The following is a 27,945-nucleotide window of genomic DNA, read 5'->3' as shown; positions in this document are numbered from 1 at the left end:
ACCTCTTTTTCAAAGGACAGTATTAAAATAGATAGGCAGGACACAAAGGAAACAGGAAATTTAAGAATCAGATATAACTTGGAGATGCACTGCCATACAATTATTAATTCATTTAACAATATTTATTGAGCCGTTATTCTTGGGAATCTCTAAAAGACAGATTCTGAGATTTTTGTTTTGGGCCATCAGTGCCCAAACTGTTTAGCTGCATGAATTTCCTCTAGCTAGCTGTTTCAGCTTTATGAGATAAGAATCCCTCCCTTTTGCCTTGAAACTACATGCCATATCAGTCTCCCTGTATTCATCTCCATTTGTCACCCCCATCCATTGCTGTAGTTGGTGTTTCCAGGGCATAAGACTCTCAGATTCCACAGGGCAGGTTGATGATCTCCTGGGTTTCAACCTTGTCCGTGTGGCACCATATAGTCTTTTCCATACGGCCTCTTCCTGCTTTCGCTGTGTCAGAAGTTTGTCTTCTGTTGCTTGTCCCCTCCCATCTTTTTGTTGATGATGGTGGTTTTTGCTTTTTATTCCTTTACTATTATTTGAACTGAGTACTCAAAGAAGAGGGGAGGAATGGGTCTCGATCTTCCAAAGAAGATCCCATACAATCTTCTAATTGTTCTACATGTTAACTCTTCCAGGCTATCAGACCCCTAATATTATTCTAGATATTCAGCCTGGAGGCAATCATGTAATTGAGGATTCTCACAAAAAGGTATGTTATCAAGGCCCTCTCAGTGGACAGATTCCCGAACTAGATACATGTTGTTTTCACATTTTCAGTGGTTGCAGCAGGTTTATGACAAAGCCACTTCACAAATGTCCTATCTATGGGTGAGACCCAGGAGGGGAGGGAGGGACACTGTGTCAATCAAGAGAAATGTCTCTCTCTTGTACTTGATACGTGAGCTCTGTTAAAGAAAATAATTTAATCTTAATTGTTGGAAGCCTTCTGCCTCTCTCTCGAATGAAAGTATTCTTGCCATAAATTGCTGACTTCACGGTTAGGTAAAGATGGATAGATAAAGAGAAGCTTAAACAGTGGCATTTTACTACAAAGGCCTTCTATTTAATTTTTTTAATGTGTTTCTTTTAGATTACAGCCCAAATTAAATTCCTGTACGAGGAACTTGGACTTGACAGCACCAGTGTTTTCGAGGATCTTAAGAAATACCTGAAATTCTGAAACACTGCATTCAACTGGGAATTGGAAACACACTGAAATATTTCATAGTCTTACTTCCAATTGAGTTAGCAAAAAAAAAATTAATAACTTGAGACTTTTAAGTTATTAATTTTTTAAAATGTGCTTCTCCATCTAAATTTTGCTTAGTCTACATCTCACTTGCTTATACTATTCTCTCCATTGATGCACATGCCCATTAACCTAGGAAAGTAATTTTCAAATCATGCTCCTTAGAAGGATGTGGAGTAGAGGGAAGGGAAGGATTGGTGATAGCAGAGCTCCAGGCCTCCCTTCCAGTCAGAACAGTTGAGCAGTTTACAAATTAGTGTCCTGCCTCTTTGCTAGCAAATGCTTTTAGACACTGTGGCAGTGAGTCATCCTCTAATTTCTATGACTGCATTTTAAGGGAAAAGATAAAATTCTTCCCCTTAAAATTCGTTAAAGTTTTTGAATAATCTGGGGTCCTAATGTGTTCTGGTCATCCCTGATTGATGCTATCTGAATAAAGTTATAAGCTCCTATAAGCCATAATTTACTTTTAAACATTTTATTTTTTTCAAAACATTTGAGAACCTTTCTTAAAGCAGTTACATTCAAGCTACAGAAATATCGAAGAATTAATGATTGTTCACCAAGCAGCATGCTGTACATGAAGCTATTACAAATGCTTACAATCCCACTGAAATGCCAGTGTCTTCATCTCTTCATAAAGGTGCCTAACACGAGGTATACAGTATGTTCAGTACACTGGAATAGCATGCTCGATTGGAAACAAAGCATCTATCTCTGAAAGCTGTTTGGCGATGAAGGAGATTCTTCGTGTTGTGTTCAAAGATGAGTCCCTCTCCCTTGTCCAGAAAAATGCCACTTGTATCAACTTTACTGCCTTTGTCGGCAGAATTGGTACTTAACCTTATTCTCATTTTAGCGGGAAGGCCCGAAATCATATTATGTAGATTTAACAGTGTTGATTCTCCAAAATTCAGAACCACGATAAAGATTCTGTCGATGCCATCCAGCTCTCTTGTGTACACAACATAGTGGCTGTCATTCCTCAAATGGCAAAACCAGCCCCTGTTGAGGAGTAGCTCATTGGCATGAAGTAGACTTAAATCTTGATATAACTTCAAAGCCGATCTGGGCTGAGTCTTTTGGACCTATTTTTTTAAAAAAGTATTTACGTAAGTGTTTGATTCTAAGAATTGTTTGTAAGTATTTTTAATATATTGTAAGGAGTTATTTACCCAAAACACTTGCTCCAATTTTGCCCCTTATAATTGCCAAATTGTAAGCATCAATAAGTAGGTAAGAACAATTTATATAAAAACTGATAGAAATGACAAATTCGGGGTTTCGGCTTGTCTGGGAGTCAATAAGTACGCACAGTGCTCTGCTACATTGTAGAGTTTCTGTAGAGATCAAATTTGACTCCACTTTAGGAGTCCCAAAGCAAATGTCCATGTCTAAGATGAATATTTAACTTGCATAGTCATTCTGTGCTATATTGTAACTGCCAGATGGCCAGAAAGAAGGCAACAGTGGACTCAGACTTCTGAGGAATTTGGGTTTGTTCCCCTTTGTAGACTAATGTGTAGGTTGCTGTTGTGCGAAGATCGTGTAACTTTAGCAGACATGTATTTCTTGCACAGCTAATAGAAGACAAAGTTGAAAAAAAGGATGCAAAATAAAAAGCTGCCTAAGGTGAAAGTTAGAAATTGTAGACTTTTTTTTACCATAATAGTATGTGTTCATTAAAGATGATTTGGGTTTATTTTACAGCTATATAAAACATAATTTGATGATGTACTTCTAACCTTTCAAGCATTTTCTGTTATTGACTATATAATATAGCCTCCATAAATGTTTTTAATGACAATATTCTGTTGAACGGTTGTACCATACTCAGCCATGCCCTTTCATTTTGACGATAGTGTTTCTAATATTTTGTATTTTTATTCCCCTCCCCCCATTTTTGTATTACTTAAGATAGATTATCAGAAAGACAGTTACTTTGTCAAAGAGTATGGGCACTTGATACATAATGCCAAATTATTCTTCATAAGAGCTGTTGCCAAATCAGTGATAATGTTCATTTAATTGTATTCTTGCCAGCCATGTTTACTGGGGTGATAGTTGTTATTGTGGTTGTTATTGTTCTTTAGGGGTAGGTTCCCAATATGTGGTCTTTAAATAATTATCTAATGGTGTTTAAAAAGATGTTTATTCTGTTTGTCAGGTACAAAGATATTTATGATACATGTATGACTTGTCTAAGTTATTAACATTTTCTCTAGCCTTAGGTAATGCATGAAAGCACATGTTTCAGTGCCACTCACATAAGAAGTGCCCGGTAAGTGTTAGCTATTATTGTCTACTTGAGTTACTACTTTCTAAAAGTATGTTGAAGTCTTTTTCTGTAATTGCAGATTTGTTGATTTTGCATTTGAGTATTTTCTATATTTTGAAGCTGTTAGATGCGTAGTCATGATTTTTGGTGGAATGTTTTATCAATTTTTGAAAATTGCCTTTGTCTCATATAATGCTTTTCATATTGAACTATATTTTGTCTGCTATTAAATACTTCCAAGCCTGATTTTTGTAATTTTATTTTTTATTCAATTACAAGAATACATACTATAAAAAGGTTTTCTTCAACACCTTTCCATAGCTTCACAGTTCCCCTCAGAGACAGGCACTATATGTTCTTTTGTTTTTAATGTATCATATGTTTGCATAGGCACAGAATGTATCATTTCATATGTTTATATATTTTTCTTTACACAGTTGGTGATATGTTACCATTCTATACTTTATTGAATACCTGTTTGAAATGGTCTCATATCAATGTATATAGAACTGTCATTTTTAAAAGCTGCATACTGGGCCCATAGTTGATAGAACTGGTTTTCTGTTGATAAAATATTTAAATCATTTCTTGTGTCTTCTATTAAAAACAAATTTTGCAGGCCAGGCAAGGTGGCTCAGGCCCGTAATCCTAGCACTTTGGGAGGCAAGGCAGACAGATCACCAGAGGTCAGGAGTTCAAGACCAGCCTGGCCAACATGGTGAAACACCATCTCTACTAAAAAATACAGAAATTACCCGGGCATAATGACGTGCACCTGTAATCCCAGCTACTTGGGAGGCTGCAGCAGGAGAATCACTTGAACCCAGGAAGCAGAGGCTGCAGTGTGCCGAGATCACGCCACTGCACTCGAGCATGGGTGACGGAGCAAGACTGTCTCAAAAAAAAAAAAAAACAGTGTTGAGATCCTTTAAGTATTATTGTGCACATGTGCAAATATTTCTAAGTATTAGGAATGGAATTATTAGGTCAAAAGATAACTTCATTTTTTGTGTTTATAGCTATAGCTGGGTTGCAAGCTTTCTATTATTTGCTTGCTATATCTTCATTTTAATTCTTTGTGTTTTATGTTAGTGTTTCTTATGTCTGTTTTTGTTATCTGAGTGGTTTTATCTTTTAATAGGCTAATTTAACCCATTCATATTTGTAATTATTGTATTATTTAGACATAATTCGGAAGCCCTATTTTATTTGTAGTTATACTATTGTTTAGGGTTTTTTTCTATTAAGCTTTTTGTTGGATTGACTGTATAATTTTTTTCTTCTAGTATTCTTTGAAAATTTGAAAATTGTTATATTTTATGTCTAGTGTTCTTTGAAAATAATTCTTTGAAAATTATTTTTATGTCCTAATTTTACCATTAAAATTATGACCACTTGAAAATAATGTTTCTCAATGTCTAGAACAATGCTGGCCAATAGAACTTTCTGTAATGCTGGAAATGTTCTATATCAGAGCCATCCAATATGGCAGCTAATGAGCACTTGAAGTGTTGCTATGACATGGGAACTGAATTTTTTTTTTTTTTTTGACACAATCTCCCTCTGTTGCCCAAGCTGGAGTGCAGTGGCATGATCATGGCTCACTGCAGCCTCAACATCCTGGGCTCAAGTGATCCTCCCACCTCAGCCTCCTGAGTAGTTGGGACTACAGGTGTGTGCCACTATGCCCAGCTAATTTTTTTCTTAAGAGATAGATAGGGTCTTACTATGTTGCCTAGGCTGGTCTCAAACTCCTAGGATCAAGTGATCCTCCAGTCTTGGCCTCCCAAAGTGCTGGGATTATAGGCGTGAGCCACCATACCCAGCAGGAACTAAATGTTTAATTCTATTTAATGTAATAGTCACAGTGGTTAATGGCTACTGAACAGCTCAAATCTAGAGTTACTCTTTTTCCTGTGCAAAACAAACACTGCTCTCTCATTTGCTTGCTCCTGTGTGCCCCCTCCCACCCACACACCCTCCCTGCTAACATTTCCCATATAGAATCAAATCACTAAGATTTTTGTTCCAGAATACCTTGTTTTACATTGTGTATCAAAAATTATTTAAATCAAGTTATTTCCTTTTCCTTCTTTAATACATTGTATCTCTTAGAATTGTTATGTTTTGTTGGATAGTCCCTTGACTATTCTTTCAGAAAGTGGCCACACATGGTAAAATGTGGGTCCTTGCTTTTCCATCTCTGTTTTGCTCTTTGAATGGATACAGAATTCCGTTTCCATTACAACTTTGAAGATAGAGTTCTAATGTGGTGTAGTATCCAATTGAGAAGTCTGATGCTAGTCCAATTCTCAACCCTTTTCTCAGGCAATCTATTTTCAGGTTTGGTTTCTTTCTGAGTAGTTTTGGAGTTCTCTTTATCCTACCTGTTCTGAAAGAAGACAAAGTCTTCCTTTATCTCTGGGTTATGTATTTTATTTCTTTGTATGTTTCCTCCAGTCTGTTCTCCTGTGCAATTGTTGTTACTGCATGTACGGAATTCTGTATCTATCTTCCATGTATCCCGATTTTTTCTTATGCTCTTAATTCTTTGTCTTTTTCAGTACGTTCTGGACAAGCCCCTGGATCAATTTTTCAGCACACTAATTAGCACTTATGTTCTATTTTATTTCATTGTTTGACAGTCTTTTATACTTCTGAGAGATCTAATCACTTCTTGAAAGAATGTCAAGGAGCTCCATTAAACAGCAATCTACTGGGGGTATTTATACTTATATTTAAGTCTTATGTTTGCTATAATTTTCTCTGCTTTCTACAGTGTTCTGTTAGGAATGGTGTCTCCCTTTTATGGCCTTGGTTTTTCTCAGATGCTGTGTGATTCTTGATCTGTTTGCTTTTGTGTTTTGACCTTCCTTGTTTGCCTGTCTTTGGTTGCCTGCCTCTCATAATGGGAAGCCAAGTTGGATGTGGGTCTGACTTGTCTTTGGGACATTGGGATGTAGGGTTCTTTTCCTACTTGAAGGTGATAAGCTTTCTAGATTCCCACCTTTTTTCTCCTGGTGTCTGTGACTCTGAGCTGAGTAGTAAAAGCTCTCCTTTCTGAGAGCATTCCACAGTGAATTCTCGCCAGGGGACAGTGCTAGAGTTAGGTCTTGTTTTCCTTCTTTTCTTTCTTTGATGCACTTGTAGAAGCTTCAGGCTTTGTTCTACTAATTCTGCCATGCATGTGATCACCAAACAGTTCTAGATTTTTTTTTCCTTAGGGAAATTATGCCATGGCAAATTGCAGGAGTTCAGGAAATTCCTACAGTGCTGTCTCTGTTAGAACTGTTTTTCTCCTGTATGTTTTAGACTCCCACTTCTATTCTCTGCTTTTTTTTTTTTTTTTTTTTTTGAGGCGGTCTTACTCTGGCACCCAGGCTGGAGTGCATTGGGGTAATCACAACTCACTGCAACCTTGATCTCTTGGGCTCAGCCTCCTGAGTAGCTGGGATGACAGGCACATGTCACCAGGCCCAGCTAATTTCCCTTTTTTTTTTTTTTTGGCGGGGGTAGGGGGAAGGTAGAAACAAGGTCTCACTATATTGCCTAGGCTGGTCTCAAACTCCTGTGCTCAAGCATTCCTCTGGCTTTTGCCTCCCAAAATGCTGGGATTACAGCTGTGAGCCATGGTGCCCAGCCCTAATTTTACTTTATGTATTTTAGAAATTACTTAAATTTTCTGTTCCTTTCCAGGGTCATTTGGATGTATTTTATTAAAATGGCATTGTCTGGGATTTATGACTTAGAAAAAAGTGTCATTGTTGGCTGGGCGTAGTGGCTCACGCCTGTAATCCCAACACTTTGGGAGGCCGAGGTGGGCGGATCACTTGAGATCAGGAGTTTGAAACCAGCCTGCCCAACATGGTGAAACCCCGTCTCCACTAAAAATACAAAAATTAGCCATACATGGTGGCAGGCGCCTGGCGGGCACCTGTAATCCCAGATACTTGGGAGGCCAAGGTAGGAGAATCGCTTGAACCCAGGAGATGGAGGTTGCGGTGAGCCAAGACCACACCATTGCACTCTAGCCCGGGCAACAAAAGCAAAACTCCATCTCAAAAAAAAAAAAAAAAAAAAAAAAAATCACTGTTTTAATTTGCATTTTCTCCATCTTTGCTGGTATGCATTTTTATGTAGGACTTCCTACATACTGTATTCAGATTGGCCTTGGCCTATGGGAATATTTTAGACATAATGAGAATCAAGAGGCATTCAACCCATATATATTTTGTGTCTTCAAGACTTACAACTATATAAAACAAAGCTTATACTATCCAAGAATTCTCAGTGGTGCTTGTAGCAGGGAGCTGTGGGAGCAGGAGGGTTTGTGTGGCTTTCTATATCTGAATATCCTGGGGAGTTTCCTCAGATTACTCAGTAGAGTGGGATGGGCATGGTGTGTGTGTGTGTGTGGCAGAGGGTGCTATGCATTTCTTAACTATCTCCATGTGGCATCTATAATTTCATTTCCCCTAAATTGGTTTAGTTTGTTTTCCAGTGAAGTTTTCACTAGTGAATGACATTAGTGCTTGATCACTATGGGAACAGAAAAAAGGGTAAAAGCCAAAGTTGTATTAGTATGCCAGAGCAACCACTTTAAGGATCATGTATGGCTTCTGTTTCTTCAGAACAGTAGTGTGGATTTGAGCCTTGCTCTGGGTTGATTGATTGATCTCCTTACTGCCTGCATGGCTGCCTATCCACTCGCCTCTCTCCCTGCCTTTTGAGGGGAAGAGAGGAGGAAAGGCAGCTGGGCTAGCTAAAAAACTTCATAAAATTTCCTTCATAGCTCAAAGGCCTTAGTAAAGGTCATTGCAATGAAGACTTGTATATTCTATATGATACTTCACTTCACTTGGTAGATTTGTACCAGTTTGTATTTTCACAAAGGCATGATTTACAAACTCCTTACAAATGGAAAACTGCAAGGAAGTCTGTGATTGATTTAAAGAGTATCCGTTAAGGTTTAGACACATTCAGGGTGAGTGTGTACTTTCAGTAGAAACCCATTTCTTTGTTTCTAGAATCAACATAAAATTTTCACTGATACTTACATCAACATTCACAGTGTGGTAATCTGAATTGGTAGGTAACCAGGTGTTACTAGCTTCAGAAAAACCAGCATTTGAACTATTGTCCCACTGCATTGGTGACTTTGAGCGAAGGGTATTCTATGTCAAAAGACCAGAAAGGGAAAACAGTGGTTTGGTTATTAGAAGAAATGTGCTTTGGTCCTGATTTACTTCATAATTATTTAATTCCCCATAGTTCTTAGCTAGTGTTTGTACTCATTAGCATTTGTGATGAAAAGGCCTCAACTTTCGGTACATAAACCAGTTTCACCCTTTTAACTAGAAAGTACCTAATAACATTTTGAGTTTGAATAGACAATACTAATCGAACTTTAATACATGCTTGAAATCTCTGCTGCTTTTTCCTAAAAATCAATAATACAGGATTTCAAAATGTGCTATTGCCAGTTTACACGACTTCTACTATGGTACAGTGTTGGTGAATTTAAGAACACTGCCATGTACAAGTGAGTATGAATTCTGTCCTACTCGTTTATTCAGCCTGATTATTGCTCATGAGTGCACACACACAAATGTAGGAGCTGATAGAGGGAAAAAAGCTTCACCTTAATCAAATATTAGGGAAATTGGATCTCATATAGTTGAAAGCTAACTAGGCAATTAAAGTTGCAAGATAGTCGTCTACCCAGCAACACAATTCTGAAATCTGTAGCTACAAAATAAAAACTGCTTAACTCTGAGGCTGTGCACTGCACCTGATAACAGAAAAGAAAAGGGTCCTTGTGCTGTGGTCACCCAAGACCAAACAGGACAAATGAGAACTAAAGAAATAAGTGTTCCTAACTCCACATTTCAAGTAGAGGGAAATGAGTCATATTCTAAACTAAACCACCGGTTCTCCAATTTTAGTGTGCCTCTCAACACAGTATTCCTGGCAAAATAAATAAATAAATTTTAATGTGCCTATCAGGTAGAAAACATCTTTAAAATGCCCTACCCAAGAAACTTTTAGTTGTATGGCTCCAAAGCATTTTTAAAATAAGCTCTCAGACCACCAAGAAAGCTGAGAATTCTTACTAACAGTAAGAAAGAAAAGCAAAGTAACCATGATTTTCAGCAATGCAATAGAGAGATAGTAAGTTCTCTGATTTGGCAAAAAATAAAAAATGAATACTTGGTTTTATAGCTGTGATGAATAGTCAAGTTGTATTCAACTTACAATATCATAGCTTTCATTGAGATTTGCGGCTACAATATTTCCCATTCCAATTTCTTCTCCATAGTAAGTTATAGGAGTTCCAGGGAGTGTGAAAAGAAGCATGTTCATCACGTTGACATACTGATTCCCCAAACGCGAAGTCAGCCGTGAACTGTCTGGTCCACCAATCTGAAAGGCAGATATTTTTAAGAACACAGCTGTATACACAGTTTTCTGAAAGATTTACCCTATTTCACAGAAAGTTCACAACGTAGCAAAACAAAGTAGATGTGGTACCTTGGTACTAGCAAGCCTGGACTTGAGTCCTAGGCCTGCTATTTGCTGTGTAACTGACCAATTTATTATCTTGGCCACTGATGAGCAAGAAAAGGGTGATAAGAATTTATTGTACAATGATATTGCAAATAAAACTCAGAGGGTACATAGTCATATTTTCTCATATTTGGATAAGAGAATATTGACAGGAAAGGAAGCAAAACTGTGGCAGAGAGCAAGACAAGGGAACCCAGGTGAAAGGGACAGGCATGAGAGACTTCTGATGTGTCCTCTTTTAAAAAATTGTTTTGACTTATGAATTATTCAGACAAAATTTTTAAAGTAAATCAACTTTTAGAAAGAATTTACATACTCCAAGATGAAATTTTATAAAGTGTTTTCTATTTGTAAATATATTTCCATGTTAAACGTTCTAGGTATATTCTAGCCCTTATTTAAATAAGTTTGTTTAAATAAGAATTTATTTAAATCACCTGACAACTCTCTCCATAACCCACAACTCAAACCCTCATGTGCATACGCTGAGCATGGCACTTTACTTTTTAAAAAGTACTTTCACACCTATATTTCCCTCCTTCACACAACAGTGCTAGCAAGTACTATCTCCGTTTTACAAATGAGGAAACAAGCTCTGAGAAATTACATCATTTATTCAAGTAGTAGTCTAAGACAGAACTAGCGTTCGAACTTGAGTCTTAGGACAAGACTTAATTGCTACAATTCAAGAAATAGGAGGTTGGGTTTTTTTTTTTTTAACTTCCTTAGCTGTATGAAAATGATCTTTATAATTACGTTTTTATAGACCATTGTGAAGTATTTTTCTATGTTTATGGCCAGAAAATTAGGTCAATTTTTGCCTCCATCCTTTTATTCTTTTCACTGTCATGAGATCTTCTGACAAGAAACCCTTTGATTTCTCAAGACTTCTGGACATAGAGCACAACAAACACTGGGAAAGGAAGAATGTGATTTCCAGAATTGTCATACTACTTAAAATGTCCGGTTTTTAACAACAACAACAAATATACAAAACAGTCAAAGAAAACAGGAAAATATGGCTCATATAATGGTGGGGGGAGTCAATAGCAAATATTGCTTAGGAAGACCAAACATTGGACTTACTAGACAAAGATTTTAAACCAGCTAATATTTTGATATTCAAAGAAAAAACCTGTGCCTGAAGAATTTAAAGTATATGAACAGTTATCAAATAGATAAGAGAAATTATGAAAAAATAAAACTGTTAGAGTTAAAAAGTACAATAGCTAAAGTGAGACGTTTACTAGAGGGACTTGACAAATTTGAACTAGCAAAGGAATCAGAAAACTTGAAGACTCAATTGAGAGTATCTGGCCTGAGAACCAGAAAGAAAAAGAAGAATGAGGCCAGGCACTGTGGCTCCCACCTGTAATCCCAGTGCTTTGGGATGCCAAGGCAGGAAGATGCTTGAGCTCAGGAGTTCTAAACCAGCCTGGGCAACATGGTGAGACCCCATGTCTACAAAAAAATTAAAAATTTAGCCAGGCATGGTGGCATGCACCTGTAGTCTCAGCTACTCAAGAAGCTGAGATGGGAAAATTGAGCACAGGACATCAAGGTTGCAGTGAGCCATGTTTACACCACTGCACTCCAGCCTGGGCAACAGAGCAAAACCCTGTCTCAAAAAAAAAAACCAGACTCTCAGAGACCTGTGGGATACTATCATGCATACCAACATATGCATAATGGGAGTCTCAAAAGGAGAGAAGGAAGAGAAATGGTCAGAAACAATATTTAAAAAAAAAATAGCCAACAACTTCCCAAATTTGATTTTTTTAAAAATTGTGTATCTAAGAACCTCAATGAACTCCAAGTAGGACAAAATTTTTAAAAACCCACACTTAGACATATCAGTCAAACCGTTAAAAGACACAGAATCTTTAAAGGAGCAAAGAAAATTGGTACATCACATGTAAGGAGTCTCAATAAGATTAGCAACTGACTTCTTATCAGAAACCATGAAGGCCAGAGGGCAATGGGATGACATATTCAAAGTGATGAAAGAAAGAACTGTAAACCAAGATTTCTATATCCAGCAAAACTGTTATTCAATAATGAAAAAATGAGATACCACTTCATTTGTACTATGATGAGTATAATTTTTTAAATCAAGACAGAAAAGTGTTGGTGAGGATGAAAAGAAATTGGAACCTTCGTACATGGCTGATGGGAATGTAAAACGGAGAAGTCACTATGGAAAACAGTTTGGTAGTTCCTCAAAATCACAGAAGTACTATATGATCCAAGGCTGGGCACAGTGGCTCACACCTGTAATCCTAACACTTTAAGGGCCAAGGTGGGAAGATCACTTGAGCTCAGGAGTTCAAGACCAGCTTGGACAACATGGCAAAACCCCATCTCCACAAAAAATACAAAAATTATCCAGGTATGGTGGTATGCACCTATAGTCCCAGCTACTTTGTGGGAGCTAATGCAGGAGGATTGCTTGAGCCCAGGAGGTCAAGGCTGCAGTGAGCCATGTTCACACCACAGTGCTCCAGCCTAGGTGATGACAAAGTGAGACCCTGTCTCAAAAAAAAAGCCTGGGCACAGTGGCTTATGCCTGTAATCCCAGCACTTTGGGAGGCCAAGGCAGCAAATCACTTGAGGCCAGGAGTTCCAGACCAGCCTGGCCAACATGGTAAAACCCCATTTCTACTAAAAATACAAAAATTAGCCAGTCATGTTGGCACATGCCTGTAATCCAAGCTACACAGGAGGCTAAGGCATAAGAATTGCTTGAACCCAGAGGCAGAGGTTGCAGTGAGCCGAGATCATACCACTGCACTCTAGCCTGGGTGATACAGTGAGACTCCATCTCAAAAAACAAAACAAAAGAAGTATTATGTGATCCAGCAATTCCACTCCATGGTATAGATCCAAAAGAATTGAAATCTGGGGCTTAAACAGATACTTGTACACCATTGGTTTGTAACATTATTCCAACAGCCAAAAGGAGGCAAAACCACAAACGTCACCAACAGATGAATAGATAACGTGTTACATAGGTACCATGGAATGTTATTCAGTCATAAGAAGGAGTAAGATCTCATACATGCTATTGTATGTATGAAGGAAAGTTGAAAACATTAAGCTAAGTGAAATGAGGCAGACACAAAAGGACAAATATTGTTATGATTCCACTTATATGAGGTACCTAGAATAGGCAAATTTATAGAGGCTGAAAATAGAATGGAGGATATCAGGGGTTAGTGGTGGAAGTGAGGAATTATTGTTTAGTGGGTACAGATTTTCTGTTTGGGATGATAAAAGTTCTAGAAACTGATAATGGTGATGGTTGTACAACATTTTGAATGTATTTAATGCATTGAATTACACACTTTTGAATGTTTAAAATTGTTTTATGTATATTTTGCAATAATTTTAAAACAAAAAATTCCTCAGAAGGCCAGGCACAGTAGCTCACGCCTGTAATCCCAGCACTTTGGGAGGCTGAGGCAGGCAGATCATGAGGTCAGGAGACCGAGGCCATCTTGGCTAACACGGTGAAACCCCGTCTCTACTAAAAATACAAGAAGTTAGCCAGGCATGGTGGCAGGCACCTGTAGTCCCAGCTATTTGGGAGGCTGATACAGGAGAATGGCATGAACCCGGGAGGCGGAGCTTGCAATGAGCTGAGATCACACCACTGCACTCCAGCCTGGGCAACAGAGCAAGACTCTGCCTCAAATTAAAAAAAAAAAAATTCTTCAGGAATTCACAATAAACTATTAGAAACGAAAAACAAGTTCAGCAATGTTTTAGGATACAAGATCAATATACACAAATCTATTGTATTTCTATACACTAATAATGAAGAATCCAATAATGAAATTAAGCAAACACTTCAGTTTACAATAATATCAAAAGAACAAAATACTTAGGAATAAACTGAACAAAAAGTCTAAGACTTGTACAATGAAAAATACAAAACATCATCAAAAGAAATTAAAGACCTAAATAAGATACATCTGTCTTCATGGATTAGAAGACAAGATGGCATGATTGCCAAAAATGATAAACAGATTCAATGCAATCCCTATCAAAATCCCAGTTGGCTATTCTAAAATTTATATGGAAATCCTAAAATTCACATGGAAATATAAGGTACCCAGAACAGCTAAAACAATCTTGAAAAATAACAAAGTTGGAGGACCCATACTTCTCTATGTCAAAACTTACTAAGCTACACTAATCAACTCAGGGTGTTCAGGCATAGAGACAGACATATAGATGAACAGAACTGAGAGTCTGGAAATCTAATCAACTGATTTTCTTTTTTTTGTTTTGTTTTACATTTAGAGACGGGGTCTCACTCTGTCACCCAGGCTGGAGTTCACCCTGGAGTGTAATCATGGCTCAAGGCAAACTTGAACTCCTGGGCTCAACTCCCACCTCAGCCTCCCAAAGTGCTGGGATTTCAGATGTGAGCCACCACGCCCAGCCTACAATCAGTTGATTTTTCAACAAAGATTCCATGATAATCCAATGAAGCAAAGAATAGTCTTTTTAGCATGTGGTGCTGGAATAAATAGACCAGGCAATGGTTTCTAATATAACACTAAAAGTACAAGTAACAACAACAACAAAACAACTGGACTTCATAAAAATTAAAAACTTCTGTGCTTTTCAAGGGACACTATCAAGAAAGTGACATGAAAGCCCACAGAATGGGAGAAAATACTTGCAAATCACCTATCCAGTATATATCAGGAATTCTTACAACTAAACAATAAAAAGACAACCAAATTTAATTATAGGCAAAGAATCTGAACAGACATTACTCCAAATAAGACATGCAGATGTCCAATAAGCACATGAAAATACCCTCAACAAAATTAGCCATCAGGGAAATGCAAAAAAAAAAAAAAAAATGCAATGAGATAACAACTTGACACTCAGTAGGAAGGCCATCATCAGAAAGGCAGACCATCACAAGGCTTGATGAGATGTGGAAAAATTGGAACCCTCGTAACATTGCTGGTGGGAATGTAAAATGGAGTAACTACTTTGGAAAACAGTTTGGCAGTTCCTCAAATAGTTAAATGTAGACTTACCATATGCCCAGTGGAGCAATTCCACTCCTGGATATATATCAGAGAGAATTGAAAACATGTTTTTATAAAAACTTGTACACAAATGTCCATAGCATCACTATTCGTAATAGTCCAAAAGTGAAAACAAATCTCTGTCAATTCATGATCAGATAAACAAAATGGGCTTTATGGAAGTTACTATTCAGCCATAAAAAGGAACGATGTACTGAGACATACTACAACATGGATAAACCTTGAAAACACTATGTTAAGTGAAAGAAGCTAGACACAAAAGTCCCATATCGTATAGCTCCATTTATATGAAATGCCCTGAATAGGCAAATCCATAGACACGGAAAGTAGGTGAGTGGTTGCCAGAGACTGAGGACAGAGAGGGAGGGGCCATGCGCAGTTATTGCTAGTGGAGATGTGGTTTATTTTGGGGGTGATGAAAATGCTCTGGAATGAGACATTGGTGATGGTTGCATAATTCTGTGAATATACCGAAAATCCACTTAATTATATACTTTAATAACGGTAAATTTTGGCTGGGCTCAGTGGCTCACACCTGTAATCCCAGCACTTTGGGAGGCCAAGATGGGTGGATCACCTGAGGTCAGGAGTTCGAGACCAGCCTGGCCAACATGATGAAACCCCGTGTCCCTACTAAAAATACAAAAAATTAGCTGGGTGTGGTGGTGGGCACCTGTAATCCCAGCTACTCTAAAGGCTGAGGCAGGAGAATTACTTGAACCCAGGAGGCAGAGGTTGAAGTGAGCCGGGATCACACCACTGCACCCCAGCCTGGGTAACGAGCAAAACTCCGTCTCAAAAAAAAAAAAAAAAAAAAAAGTTTTATGGTATGTGAATTATATCTCGACAAAGCTGTTATTTAAAAATTGTATAGTTTTAATACTTACATTTAACAAATTAAAGCTTTTACCATGCCTAAAAATTTGAGCCTCTTTCCCCTCACCAGACGGAGAAAGGCTCTGGCAATGGAAACACACATTCCTGCCTATTAAAGCATCAGAAAAGATTGAAATAAGCTTAATTGTGGTTCACAGATTCTGCCAGTGTTTTTCTGCCTAGGCTGCATTTTCTCCTTTATCCTTTCAGGTTTTCATCAGGCTGTGTAAGATAGCTGGCAGGATCTGTGCGAAAAGTATCAAAATCATACCACTTTTCAGGGCCCAGATCAAACCTACAGGTATTGTGGGGGTACAACAGAAGATATTGACTAGTGTAAGGCAACTCTCTCTCTATATATAAGGCACACCTTTGGTAAGTCGCTGAACTGCATACGAATAACAACAGCACCAGTAACAAACAAACCCTGAGCCTGAGCACCTCCGTGTGAGGTGGGCACCGTGCAAGGATGCTGGGAACCTGCCTCTGCCCTTAACCAGTGAACTGTCTAGTGGGGAAAGCAGACATCGTGGAATTGTGTGGACTTTAAGGAAAGAGAATGAACGGGTGCTATAGTATACAATAGGTAGACCTGACACCTCATTTGGGGGCTCCAGAAGGCTTCCTGTGGTGACACCTACCTGAGACCTAAACGATGAGACCACAGAAACAGTCTAAGGTGGTAGAGATACAGAGAGATGGAGGATTATCGAGACTAAAGAGGCATTTTAGAGTTTACATTTATAATATATTAAAGAAAGGAAGGGCCAGGAGTGGTGGCTCATGCCCATAATCCCAGCACTTTTGGGAGGCTGAGGTGGGGGTGGATCACGAGGTCAGGAGTTCAAGAACAGCCTGACAAACATGGTAAAACCCCGTCTGTACTAAAAATAAAAAAATTAGCCAGGCATGGTGGCGTGCACCTGTAATCCCAGCTACTCAGGAGGCTGAGGCAGAAAAATTGCTTGAACCCAGGAGGTGGAGGTTGCAGTAAGCCAAGATCACGCCATGCACTCCAGCCTGGGCAACAGAGGGAGGCTCCGTCTCAAAAAAAAAAAAAAAAAAAGTAAGAAAAGAAAGGTTGTCTTTTATATGAGAGAAAGAAACTTGCATTTTGTTTAAACCACTATTACCGTGGGACTTTGAAGCAGCAGGGCTTACATCTATAATACTACAGACATCTTACGAAGGAGCCTAATATTGACCTCTAACTCAAACCCAAAGACAGAAAAATCAGATCAGGGAAAGCAACCCTGATGGGTGTGGAAGTGAGAATACTGGTCTGTTACCACAGGTATGTATTGCTGTATCTTCTGTTCTTCACTGAAGTAATGTATTGCCAGTCTTGAAAAATGTTAGTGCTGGGCGTGGTAGCTCATGCCTGTATTCCCAGCACTTTGGGAGACCAAGGTGGGCAGGCAGATCACCTGAGGTCAGGAGTTTAAGACAAGCCTGGCCAACATGGTGAAACTCCCTCCCTACTAAAAATACAAAAACAAAAATAATTAGCCAGCCATGGTGGCATGCACCTGTAGTCCCAGCTACTCAGGAGGCTGAGGTGGGAGGATTGCTTGAGCCTCAGAGGTCGAGGCTGCAGTGAGCCATGACTGCACCATTGCACTCCAGGCTGGGTGCAGAGTGAGCCCCTGTCTCAAAAAAAAAAAAAAAAAAAAAAAAAAATTGTTTTCAAGAGTGTAGTACAGAAGGGGGAGAAATTCTTTCTCCGACAATCTCTGTAGTTTAAATGCTTTTTGCAGTGCATCCTGCCCCACAAATTGGTGTTTTGTCACAGTTTTATGTTGCCCTGAATTGCTGTGTACCTCTTCTACACCCGAAATCCTCTTTCTTCCCATTGACATCATAAACTCTGAGATATGTGGGGAGAAATTATGGTTTGATATCCATCCCCAAAAAGCCTAGCAGTGTTCTGAGCATAGACAAGCACTCATTCAATATTCATTCCATTCAGTGGGCAGTCTCCCTCCCTTAATGAAAAGAACCTGGCAGAGGCTGTGACAGGCCTGACCACTGAACAATCACCAAATAAGGCAGAGGTGATGGTCACTTAGAGACAAAGGTCCATTGCATTTTAGAGATAACTGGACAGCAAAGGCAACAGCAGCACATTATGTACTCTGCTGTCATGAGGACTTACCATCCAGTTAGGCCATTTTCCTTCTGGCATGTTTTCCATCCAGGATGTGATAACCTCATACACGCTGTTCCCAGAAACAGTGTCTAGCATGCTGAGGTAATTGTTGAAGGGAAAATCAGCTTCTTGGATAAATGGCAATCCATAGTACATCACGGTCCTGTCAATACTCTCTGCATAGGCTTCAGTCCCCATGAACCTATAAGAGTTGACAAGGTTCAGTGTCATCGGGGCCTGTCAGAAGACTGGGAAGGCACTCCACAGCTGCTTATCTTGCATGTACAAGATGTAGGGGCTGAATGCACACTATTAACCATATAGGACTAGCACCTTCTAGAAAGCATAATCAAGCTGTCACCAAATGTTAGACTGGATTAAGAAAATGTGGCACATACACACCATGGAATACTATGCAGCCATAAAAAAGGATGAGTCCATGTCCTTTGCAGGGACATGGATGAAGCTGGAAACCATCATTCTAAGCAAACTATCACAAGGACAGAAAACCAAACACCGCATGTTCTCACTCATAGGTGGGAGTTGAATAACGAGAACACATGGACACAGGGCAGGGAACATCACACACCGGGGCCTGTCAGTGGGTGGGGGGCTAAGGGAAGGATAGCATTAGGAGAAATACCTAATGTAAATGACAAGTTGATGGGTGCAGCAAACCAACATGGCACATGTATACCTATGTAACAAACCTGCATGTTGTACACATGTACCCCAGAACTAAAAGTATAATAATAAAAAATAAGGCAGAAAAATCCACCCCCCCCAAAAAAAATGAAACACATTTGGGTGCCAGGTGCAGTGGCTCACACCTGTAATCCCAACACTTTGGGAGGCCGAGGCAGGTGGATAACTTGAGGTCAGGAGTTTGAGACCAGCCTGGCCAACGTGGAGAAACATCTCTACCAAATATACAAAAATTAGGTGTGGTGATATGCGCCTGTAATCCCAGCTACTCGGAAGGCCAAGGCAGGAGAATCACTTGAATTTGGGAGGTGAAGGTTGCAGTGAGATGAGATCATGCCACCACACTCCAGCCTGGGCAACAAAGTGAGAATGTCTTTAAAAAAAAAAAAAAAAATTGGATCTCAGTCTATATTGGTTGTTTTTTTGTTATTGTTTCTTGAGACAGAGTTTTACTCTTATTGCCCAGGCTGGAGTGCAATGGCATGATCTTGGCTTACTGCAACCTCCACCTCCCAGGTGCAAGTGATTCTCCTGCCTCAGCCTCCCGAGTAGCTAGGATTACAGGCACCCGCCACCACGCCCAGCTAATTTTTTTGTGTTTTTAGTAGACACAGGGTTTCACCATGTTGGCCAGGCTGGTCTCAAACTCCTGACCTCTGATGATGTGCCTGCCTTGGCCTCCCAAACTATTGGGATTACAGGCATGAGCCACCGCACCAAGCCTGTTCTTTTCTTTCTAAACCTAGAATCCTAGGAGAAATAATCTCCTAGAATCAAAATTCAGTAACATCCTGACACTAAAACTCGTTGACATCCATGAAGACTTTCTTTAGCAATTCTCATCACTCCATTTAGAATCTAAAGTTTATGTCTGCAAATTAGGTGGGGTATTTTCTTCAAAAGAACTTCCCCCTTGTATTGGAGTCCCTATAACATCTTGCCTTATTATTGGTGTGCACTCTCAATTGCTGAAAGCAAAACCCTGGGGGAAGACACATTCACCTGAAATGACTCCGATCAATGCTGGCTTTAGCTATTTGAGGCAGCATATTTATGGATAAGTGCATGGTCTCTGGAGCCCAACTGCTTCAGTTCAAATCCCATAGCTGCCACTCCTACCTGTGGACATTACTTACATGCTCAGAGCCTCAGTTTCCTTGTCTATAAAATGGAGACAGAGTAATCGGAGTACCTACTTTAAGGAGATGAAATTTCTTTAATTCCTTCCTATTGATTCTGTTGAGTGATCTATGTAAACTTAATGATGGGTAATTTTATTGAGTGTTTACTATGATCCAGGCACTACTTTATATACATTATCTAATTTAATCTCACAACAGCCTTATAGAGGTTATTGCTATCACTTTTTTATTGATGAGACAACTGAGACTTATGTTAATTAACTGGCCCTAGGTCACACAGCTACAGAGCAGGACTCCTTCAGACCTACCTGATTCCAAAGCTGTGTTCCTGATACTTTAGCTGAAACATATGGATTTATATACTGTACTAGGAAACTATAGATCCAATAACAATGATAAAAATAATACTGCAGAGAAGGAGCTGGTATTTTTATTTTTTTCTTGAGATGGAGTATTGCTCTGTTGCCCAGACTGGAGCACAGTGGCATGATCTCAGCTCACTGCAACCTCCACCTCCCCGGTTCAAGCAATTCTCCTGCCTCAGCCTCCCGAGTAGCTGGTATTACAGGCATGTGCCACCTTGCCCATTTTTGTAGTTCTAGTAGAGGAGGGGTTTCGCCATGTTGCCCAGGCTGGTCTCGAACACCGTCAGGTGATCCACCAGCCTCGACCTCACACAGTGCTGGGATTACAGGCATGAGCTACCGCACCCAGGTGGAGCTGGTTTTGTTTTTTTGGTTCTTTTTTTTTTTTTTTTTTGTGATGGAGTCTCGCTCTGTCGCCCAGGCTGGAGTGCAGTGGTGCAATCTTGACTCGCTGCAACCTCTGCTTCCCGGGTTCAAGTGATTCTCCTGCCTCAGCCTCCCAAGTAGCTGGGATTACAGGCACCCACCACCACACCCAGCTAATTTTTGTATTTTTAGTAGAGATGGGGTTTCACCATGTTGGCCAGGCTGGTCTCAAACTCCTGACCTCGTGATCCGCCTGCCTTGGCCTCCTACAGTGCTGGGTTTACAGGCGTGAGCCACTGTGCCCGGCCTGGAACTGGTTTTTGAAAAAGAAAAAATAATAGCTCATGGCTAACATTTAGCTAATATAATCTCTTTTTCATTAACCTAATTTTCACAAAACTCCTGTGAAGTACGTAGTGTGATCTGCATCATTTTACAAAAGAGGAAACTGAAAGTCAGCAAAATAAGCAAACAGGAAAGGAATATGGCAGGCCCTGGTACAACCAAACTGTAATCAATTAGAGTTATGCAGGCTTGTTACATTATTACTTGAACCTCCAAATACACTTGGTTGTGAGGGATACACTGCAGATCACACACTAAGCCTGGGAAGAAATGAGAGCATATGCCGTGGTCAACCTGTATCTGCCGGGCTCCGTGCTGTATTGGTCCATGGTCTGCCGGAAGCTGCGGACAATGTCGTGCATTCCCACCTGCGTGGTGGTGAAGTCATGGTACAGCTCCGAGTATTGTGTGACCGTGTCCTTTGAAAACCAGGACGACATGGTTACCCTCATTTCATACATTGCATGCCCACAGCTCGCTCTATATGAATGTAGACAACCTCTTCAAAGGGCTCAAGCCAAGCGAGACGCACACTCAAACATGGTTTTGTGGATGGAGAAGAATGCTTCATTTGATGCTCAAGTTGTTAACTTTATAAATCTACTAAGCAATATTTCTCTAATAAACTGTCACCCATTTTAGCAAATAAATTTTACCAAGCAAAACACTGATTACAAAGTTCTCAACACGTAATTGTCAAAATGTTTCAGACCCTTTTAAAAACAAAAAAAAAGATCTTAGTGGTTATAGAGCTCATTATTACATGTATACTTTATCTGCTCACAAAACTATTAACATCATGCACTTAAATTTGTTTCTTTACCATCACTATCCTTTCTCCTAACTGTTATACTTTCTCGGGGTTTCAGTAAATTTTTCCTAGTTTCTGTATCTTTGTAGGATTTCTATGTCAGTGTCTCATTTCTATGTCTTTCTAGGATGACAATAATCTCCTAGAATCAAAACAAAAAATTACATCTCATCCAAGCCAAGGCCTCCTCACTTGAGCCTATGTCAGATGATAAAATTGCAGGAGTAAATGTCCTCTATTTTGTGGCCCTTGGTAGAGCCCACACTGTCCATGTCTTCAGAACCCTTGTCACTGAAGGACTCCTCAAGGGATCCCTCGCTCTGGAGGGAACCAGTGGAAAAAAACATCGAGTGCATATGCATTTCAAACTCTTGCACATTTCCTAAAGAAATAAATCAGGGTACTTGCTAGACACAGGACAAAACTCATCTTTGTAACTGGTATCTCAGGCTGAGAAAGAAAACACTCTGATGACATTTTCAGAAAAGGCAAAAGAAAAACGTTTAAAATAAAACTTTACCGGGATTTGGGTCTTATTTACTTGGATCTCATCTCTCAGGTGCTTTGCTTCTAGGAGGAATTTAACAGCATCCAAACTAAAACCATCAACACCCTTTGTGAGCCAGAACCGTAAAATTTCCTAAAGATGAAGAAGCAAAATGCTTGGTTACATTAACTACGTTATTATCACAACGTTTAATCAAAGTTTTGACTGTTAACAACTTGGCATCATAAAACAGATATCTACATACAGAACAAGCACAGTATTCACAGTCTATTTTTATCTATTTAGCATAACTGTCTTACTAAAATGCACTCTAACTGCATTTAGCGACTCCCACACCTCCTTCATATGTGAATTCAGAATTACAATTAGTTACATTTGTAATGGATGTTATAAGGATGTTTTCAAAGTTTAGAGAGTCTACTAAAAATGAAAGAATGAAACCATAAGAAAAGATAGGACTCAGAATAAACTAGGAAAGTTTCTCATCTCCCTCATGCCCAACTCCTTAACTGTCACTGCAAACTCAAAGAAAATAACACATTGTTCAATAGTTAAATATTTCACTCCTTACTAGGAAGGCAGATGAGAGGTGAAGTGCTTAGATATTAAAGGATCTCCTGCTAGGAGTAATATGGAAGGAACACACAGAAAAAAAATAGAATCAACCATCAACCAAGTAAATAACTAAGAATAGTGACGATCCTGTGGTAAAACTCAGATACTAGTGTTGTCTTGAATACACTCAGATAATAAAAGATGAAATGGGCTGGGCACAGTGGCTCATGCCTGTAATCCCAGCACTCTGGGAGGCCGAGGCAGGCGGATCACCTGAGGTCAGGAGTTTGACACCAGCCTGGCCAACATGATGAAACCCTGTCTCTACTAAAAATACAAAAAGTAGCCAGGCATGGTGGCGGGTGCCCATAATCCCAGCTACTCGGGAGGCCGAGGCAGGAGAATCACTTGAACCCGGGAGGTGGAAGTTGTGGTGAGCCGAGATTGGGCCATTGCACTCCAGCCTGGGCAACAAGAGCAAAACTCTGTCTTTTAAAAAAAAAAAAAAAAAAAAAAGGAATCTACATTATTCCACTGGCTTTAATTTCACAAATAAATTGATCCCAAACACAAATGGTTAAGCTAAAAATCCAGGTTCTCATACATTTAATTTTATTCTTTGGTGACAGACTTTCTTCCAAAGGTGTGTGCTAGAAACCCAATTATTGTATGACTGCCCCTGGCTCACTCTCCTCTCCTGCCCTACTCTTCCAACACACCTTGCTAGAGAGAAGGTAGTCATTGCCTGCTCAGCCTCTCCCCTGCCTCACCTGCTCCTGAGAGCATCATCGTGGGCTGCCTTGTTCCCAGGCATTTTTAATGCTGAAGCCAAAGATTAGAGAGATGAAGACTGGTGCAAATAAGTGGTTAGTCCGGGCGCAGCGGCTCACGCCTATAATCCCAGCACTTTGGGAGGCCGAGGCAAGTGGATCACTTGAGGCCAGGAGTTTGTGACCAGCCTGGCCAACATGGTAAAACCCCGCCTCTACTAAACATACAAAAATTAGTTGGGCATGGAGCCATGCACCTGTAGTCCCAGCTACTTGGGAGGCTGAGCATGAGAATTGCTTGAACCTAAAAATCGGAGGTTGCAGTGAGCCAAGATCATGCCACTGCACTCCAGCCTGGGTGGCAGAAGGAGATCCTGTTTCAAGAAAAAAAAAGGCAGTGGCAGGGATAGGGGGGTGGCCAGTGTGGCCAGAGGAGCATAAGTAAGAGTAGGAGGAGGTAAAGAAAACTAACTCATCATGCTCAGCTTTGTAGTTAACAGGAAAGATCTGGGATTTTTGTGAGGGTGATGGGAAACCCCTGGAGGGATTTTTAATCAGAAAAGGCTGTGGGCTGACTTAACATTTTTTTTAAAGATCTGATGTATGAAGAATCAACTGTATAGTATGGCATTTCCTCAAAAGGTTAAACATCAAGTTACCATAAGACCCAGCAATTTCACGCATAGGTATATACCCGAGAGAAATGAAAACTTATGTCCACGCAAAAACTTGTTCACAAATATTCATAGCAGCATTATTCATAATAGCCAGAAAGTGGAAACAACCCAATGGTCTATCCATACGATGAATATTTGGCCATGGAAAGGAACAATGTGCTGACACATGCTACGACATGGATGAACCTTGAAAAGATTTTTCTAGCCAGGTGTGACGGCTCACACCTGTAATCTCAGCAATTTAGGAGGCTGAGGTGGGAGGATCGCTTGAGCCCAGGAGTTCTAGACCAGCCGGGCAACATGACAAAACCCTGTCTCTACAAAAAATGAAAAATTAGCTGCGTGTGGTGGTACATGTCTGTAGGCCTCTGAAACAGCACCTGGTACTTAGTGAACAAATTGTAGCATGAAAGAATGACATATTGAGCCTGAATGACCAAACATTACAGAAGTACAGCATGTTCCCTGGCTTCAGGTCTACAGAACAGTTGGGGACATGTGGGACAAGGGATGGTTACCTAATAATGCAGGTCCTCATGAGAGGAGACACCTCTGCCTACAGGGCTGCAAGAGCTTCAAGACATTTCAAAATATGTGGGTGGGCACAGCAGGAGAAGGAAGAGCTAGAGCTTGAACTTGACCTAGATGACCTGGTGGGATTTCAATGGAGGGTGGGAATGGGACAACATGAGCCAAGTGTGGAGGCAGAGGCTGGCCTGTACTGGGACAGGTGGGAGGACCAGGTGACCGTGAAAAGCAGAGGTCCTGAGCCTCAGCTACCTGCCTCAACCCCACAGCCAGCCTCTCCCAGCAAGGCCTGCTCCGGCTCCGGCACCTGCTCACAAGCTCTGCAAAGGAACAGTGGCTCTCCCTACTTTTCTCATCCCTTGCTGTATGGAAGGTTTCACAGGAATGTATATATCATTTTAGAGCAGAACCATCTGTAAAGTACTAAACAGCCAATTTTCACCTATGGAGGGAAACAGAGCCACAGATCCCAAATGACAACTATCCCACAGTTCACTTGTGTATTAGAGTTTGTTCTCATGCTGCTAATAGAGACATATCTAAGACTGGGTAATTTGTAAAGCTGTTTAATTGACTCACAGTTTCACAGGGCTGGGGAGGCCTCACAATCATGGCAGAAGGCGAATGAGGAGCAAAGTCACATCTTACATGACAGCAGGCGAGAGAGTTTGTGCAGAAGAACTCCCACTTATAAAACCATCAGAACTCACTATCACGAGAACAGGATGGAGGAAACCACACCCATGATTCAATTATCTCCACCTGCTCCACCCCACAACACATGGGGATTATGAGAATTACAATTCAAGATGAGACTGGGGTGAGGACACAGCCAAACCATATCAACTTGTTTGACTTGAAGTGCGTTTCTATCTGCACGTGAATATGGAGGTTTCAAGTCAAGTCAAGGGTCTCAACAGCTAAATGCAAGGGTTAATACTGCTCCTGTCAATTCACTTTAAGCTGAGATTTTGAATGGTGAAGCTTGAATCAATTTTTTATGCCTAAGAGCAAGTTCTGGGGTGAATAACTCTTATCATGGGCACAGGTGACCCAAATAACCTCCAGTAATCTCTACCCAGTGGAATTTTTCTCTGGGGCATAAAAAACAAATTTGTTCTTACTAGTGCCTTTATCTTTTACCAAATTCATTCATTCAATAAGTATTTGAACTCCTAGTGTATACCAGGCACTTAGGCAAGCCCTGGAACTACAACCACAAGAAAAATACAACAGACACAGTCCTAGGTCTCCCGGATTATTTTAGAATCTCCAGCTAGACAAATAGCAACACAAAAATATTTAAATCACAGCTGAGACAAAGGAGAGAAACATGGTAATACAAGAGGGTAAAACAGCAATTCACCCTGGGGAGGGTTTGCAGCTGGCAAACAGGAAGTGACAGCCATTCATCAGAGAATGGGCTAGAGAAGTCTGGTGGGGCAAAGAAAGGCACCTCATTTCTAGAACAGGTTTTCAGTGGCTTCAGGAGTGACCTTACTATGAAGCTAACCAAACTTAAGCTTCAAGACCTCTCACTTGCACTCATCTAACTCCCCTTCTTTGCTCATTTTAAGTAAATACCAACTTTTCTGTACTTAATTTTGTGCTCTATTTTAAGAAGGCCCTAATTTACTATCAGCTTCAGACCCCGCGCAACCTGGGTCCACACCCAGGTGGTGCTGTTCTTTAAAAGTGTGAACATTGGTTGGGGCAGAGCACGAATAACTGAAGGCATCCAAGCGGCCTCTGACAAAAATGTGGGAAAACATTAAGCACCATTCTGTGTAAACATCAAGCTTTTGGGCACTGATTTCCTAAAATAAAGCCAGTCCTTTTCTTTACGGAGTCCGGATCTCAGCATTGTGAAATGTTGACCTGACATTAAACATGAGAAACTTGTACCGCACAGAAGGTTTATGGCCCTAGCATAATCAGAAATAATATCATTGTTTAATGAGACAAAACAGTAAAAGCTTGATGGACATTTTCTGAAAGTCATTTTAAATGCTGATAATTCAGATTATCACCAAGATAATCCAAAGTTTGCTCTTGAAAAATATTTGCTTCATGCTATTTATTCTCTCAACCAGGAGGGAAAAGAGAGCTTCAGATTTTAATTGTTAACCCTCTTTACTCCCATGAAGGTCTCTCAGGGTTCCAGATGCAAAAATGGGCACAGAGCCTGGGTCAGCTAGGTCTAGTGACCCATGTAGGTGCCGTGGACTCTGGGAACTGGACTATACACTACGTCCTTGACTCCTGTCTGACTCCCATGACATCACGCACTCCTGGTTTTTCCACTGGGCACCTTTTAACTCCTTTCTCTTTAAATAGCTCGCTGCTCTGAGTGAAAAGAAAGCAAGTCAACATTAAGGAAGCAAGTTAACATATCCAAATACATGGAACCTTGAGCCAAGCCTTTCCTTTTCAGATGGCTGACATTTGGGGGCCCGTTTACCTAAAAACCCATGTTTGGGAAAAGCTCTGTCTACTCTTACATGGGATGATAGAGAAGACATCCTCTTAAGCCAGGTGTGGTGGCTCATGCCTGTAATCCTAGCACTTTCAGAGACCGAGGTGGGAGGATCACTTAAGCTCAGGAGTTCAAGACCAGCCTGGGCAACAAAGTGAGACCCTGTCTCTATTAAGAAAACAAAAACAAACCAAAAAAACAAACAGAAGACATCATCTTGAAAATGTCATAAATCACAGGTTGTCCATCTCAAGAAGGAATGAGAAAGGATGTTTCAGAGTACAGAGGAAACTGGTTCTCTACTTAGAGGCAAGAGAAAGAAAACTGACCCTACTCATGTTCAGAAATCTTGGAAAAATTCTTTGCTAACTCCTCCAGAAGCAGGAAGTAGAGGAAAGATCAAGGACTTCAGAATTTGACCCTCTGGGTACAACCCAGCTCTCTCGCTGTCCAGCTGCATGACATAGGGCATCTGCAAGACCAGCTAAGCCTCAGTG

At 40.2% G+C, this 27,945-nt stretch overlaps 2 protein-coding genes across 19 annotated transcripts in view; one reads left to right on the top strand and one right to left on the bottom strand.

Moving 5' to 3' along the window:
* Positions 1-4,938, top strand: part of PREPL (prolyl endopeptidase like) — a 44,256-nt gene extending 39,318 nt beyond the window's left edge. For 12 of the 17 annotated variants that reach the window (NM_001171617.1, NM_001171603.1, NM_001374277.1 and 9 more), the window contains 2 exons: positions 645-718; positions 1,100-4,938. In NM_001171617.1, coding sequence (NP_001165088.1) covers positions 645-718; positions 1,100-1,189 — 164 coding nt within the window. In that variant the 3' untranslated portion in view covers positions 1,190-4,938. The remainder of the gene's footprint in view (positions 1-644; positions 719-1,099) is intronic. The other 5 variants (XM_047446444.1, XM_047446443.1, XM_047446446.1 and 2 more) reach the window with 1 other exon arrangement.
* The window catches only part of SLC3A1 (solute carrier family 3 member 1), a 46,958-nt gene continuing 19,120 nt past the window's right edge, over positions 108-27,945 (bottom strand). Inside the window, exons 5-10 of one of the 2 annotated variants that reach the window (XM_011533047.4) lie at positions 22,455-22,574; positions 21,418-21,542; positions 18,207-18,402; positions 9,792-9,959; positions 8,594-8,710; positions 108-4,427 (exon numbers count right to left, since the gene is read on the bottom strand). In XM_011533047.4, the coding sequence (XP_011531349.1) occupies positions 4,350-4,427; positions 8,594-8,710; positions 9,792-9,959; positions 18,207-18,402; positions 21,418-21,542; positions 22,455-22,574 (804 nt within the window). In that variant the 3' untranslated portion in view covers positions 108-4,349. The remainder of the gene's footprint in view (positions 4,428-8,593; positions 8,711-9,791; positions 9,960-18,206; positions 18,403-21,417; positions 21,543-22,454; positions 22,575-27,945) is intronic. The other variant, NM_000341.4, reaches the window with a different exon arrangement.

This window comes from Homo sapiens, chromosome 2, assembly GCF_000001405.40.
Source record: "Homo sapiens chromosome 2, GRCh38.p14 Primary Assembly".
Lineage (NCBI taxonomy): Eukaryota > Metazoa > Chordata > Mammalia > Primates > Hominidae > Homo > Homo sapiens.
This window is presented reverse-complemented; position numbering and strand designations above follow the sequence as displayed.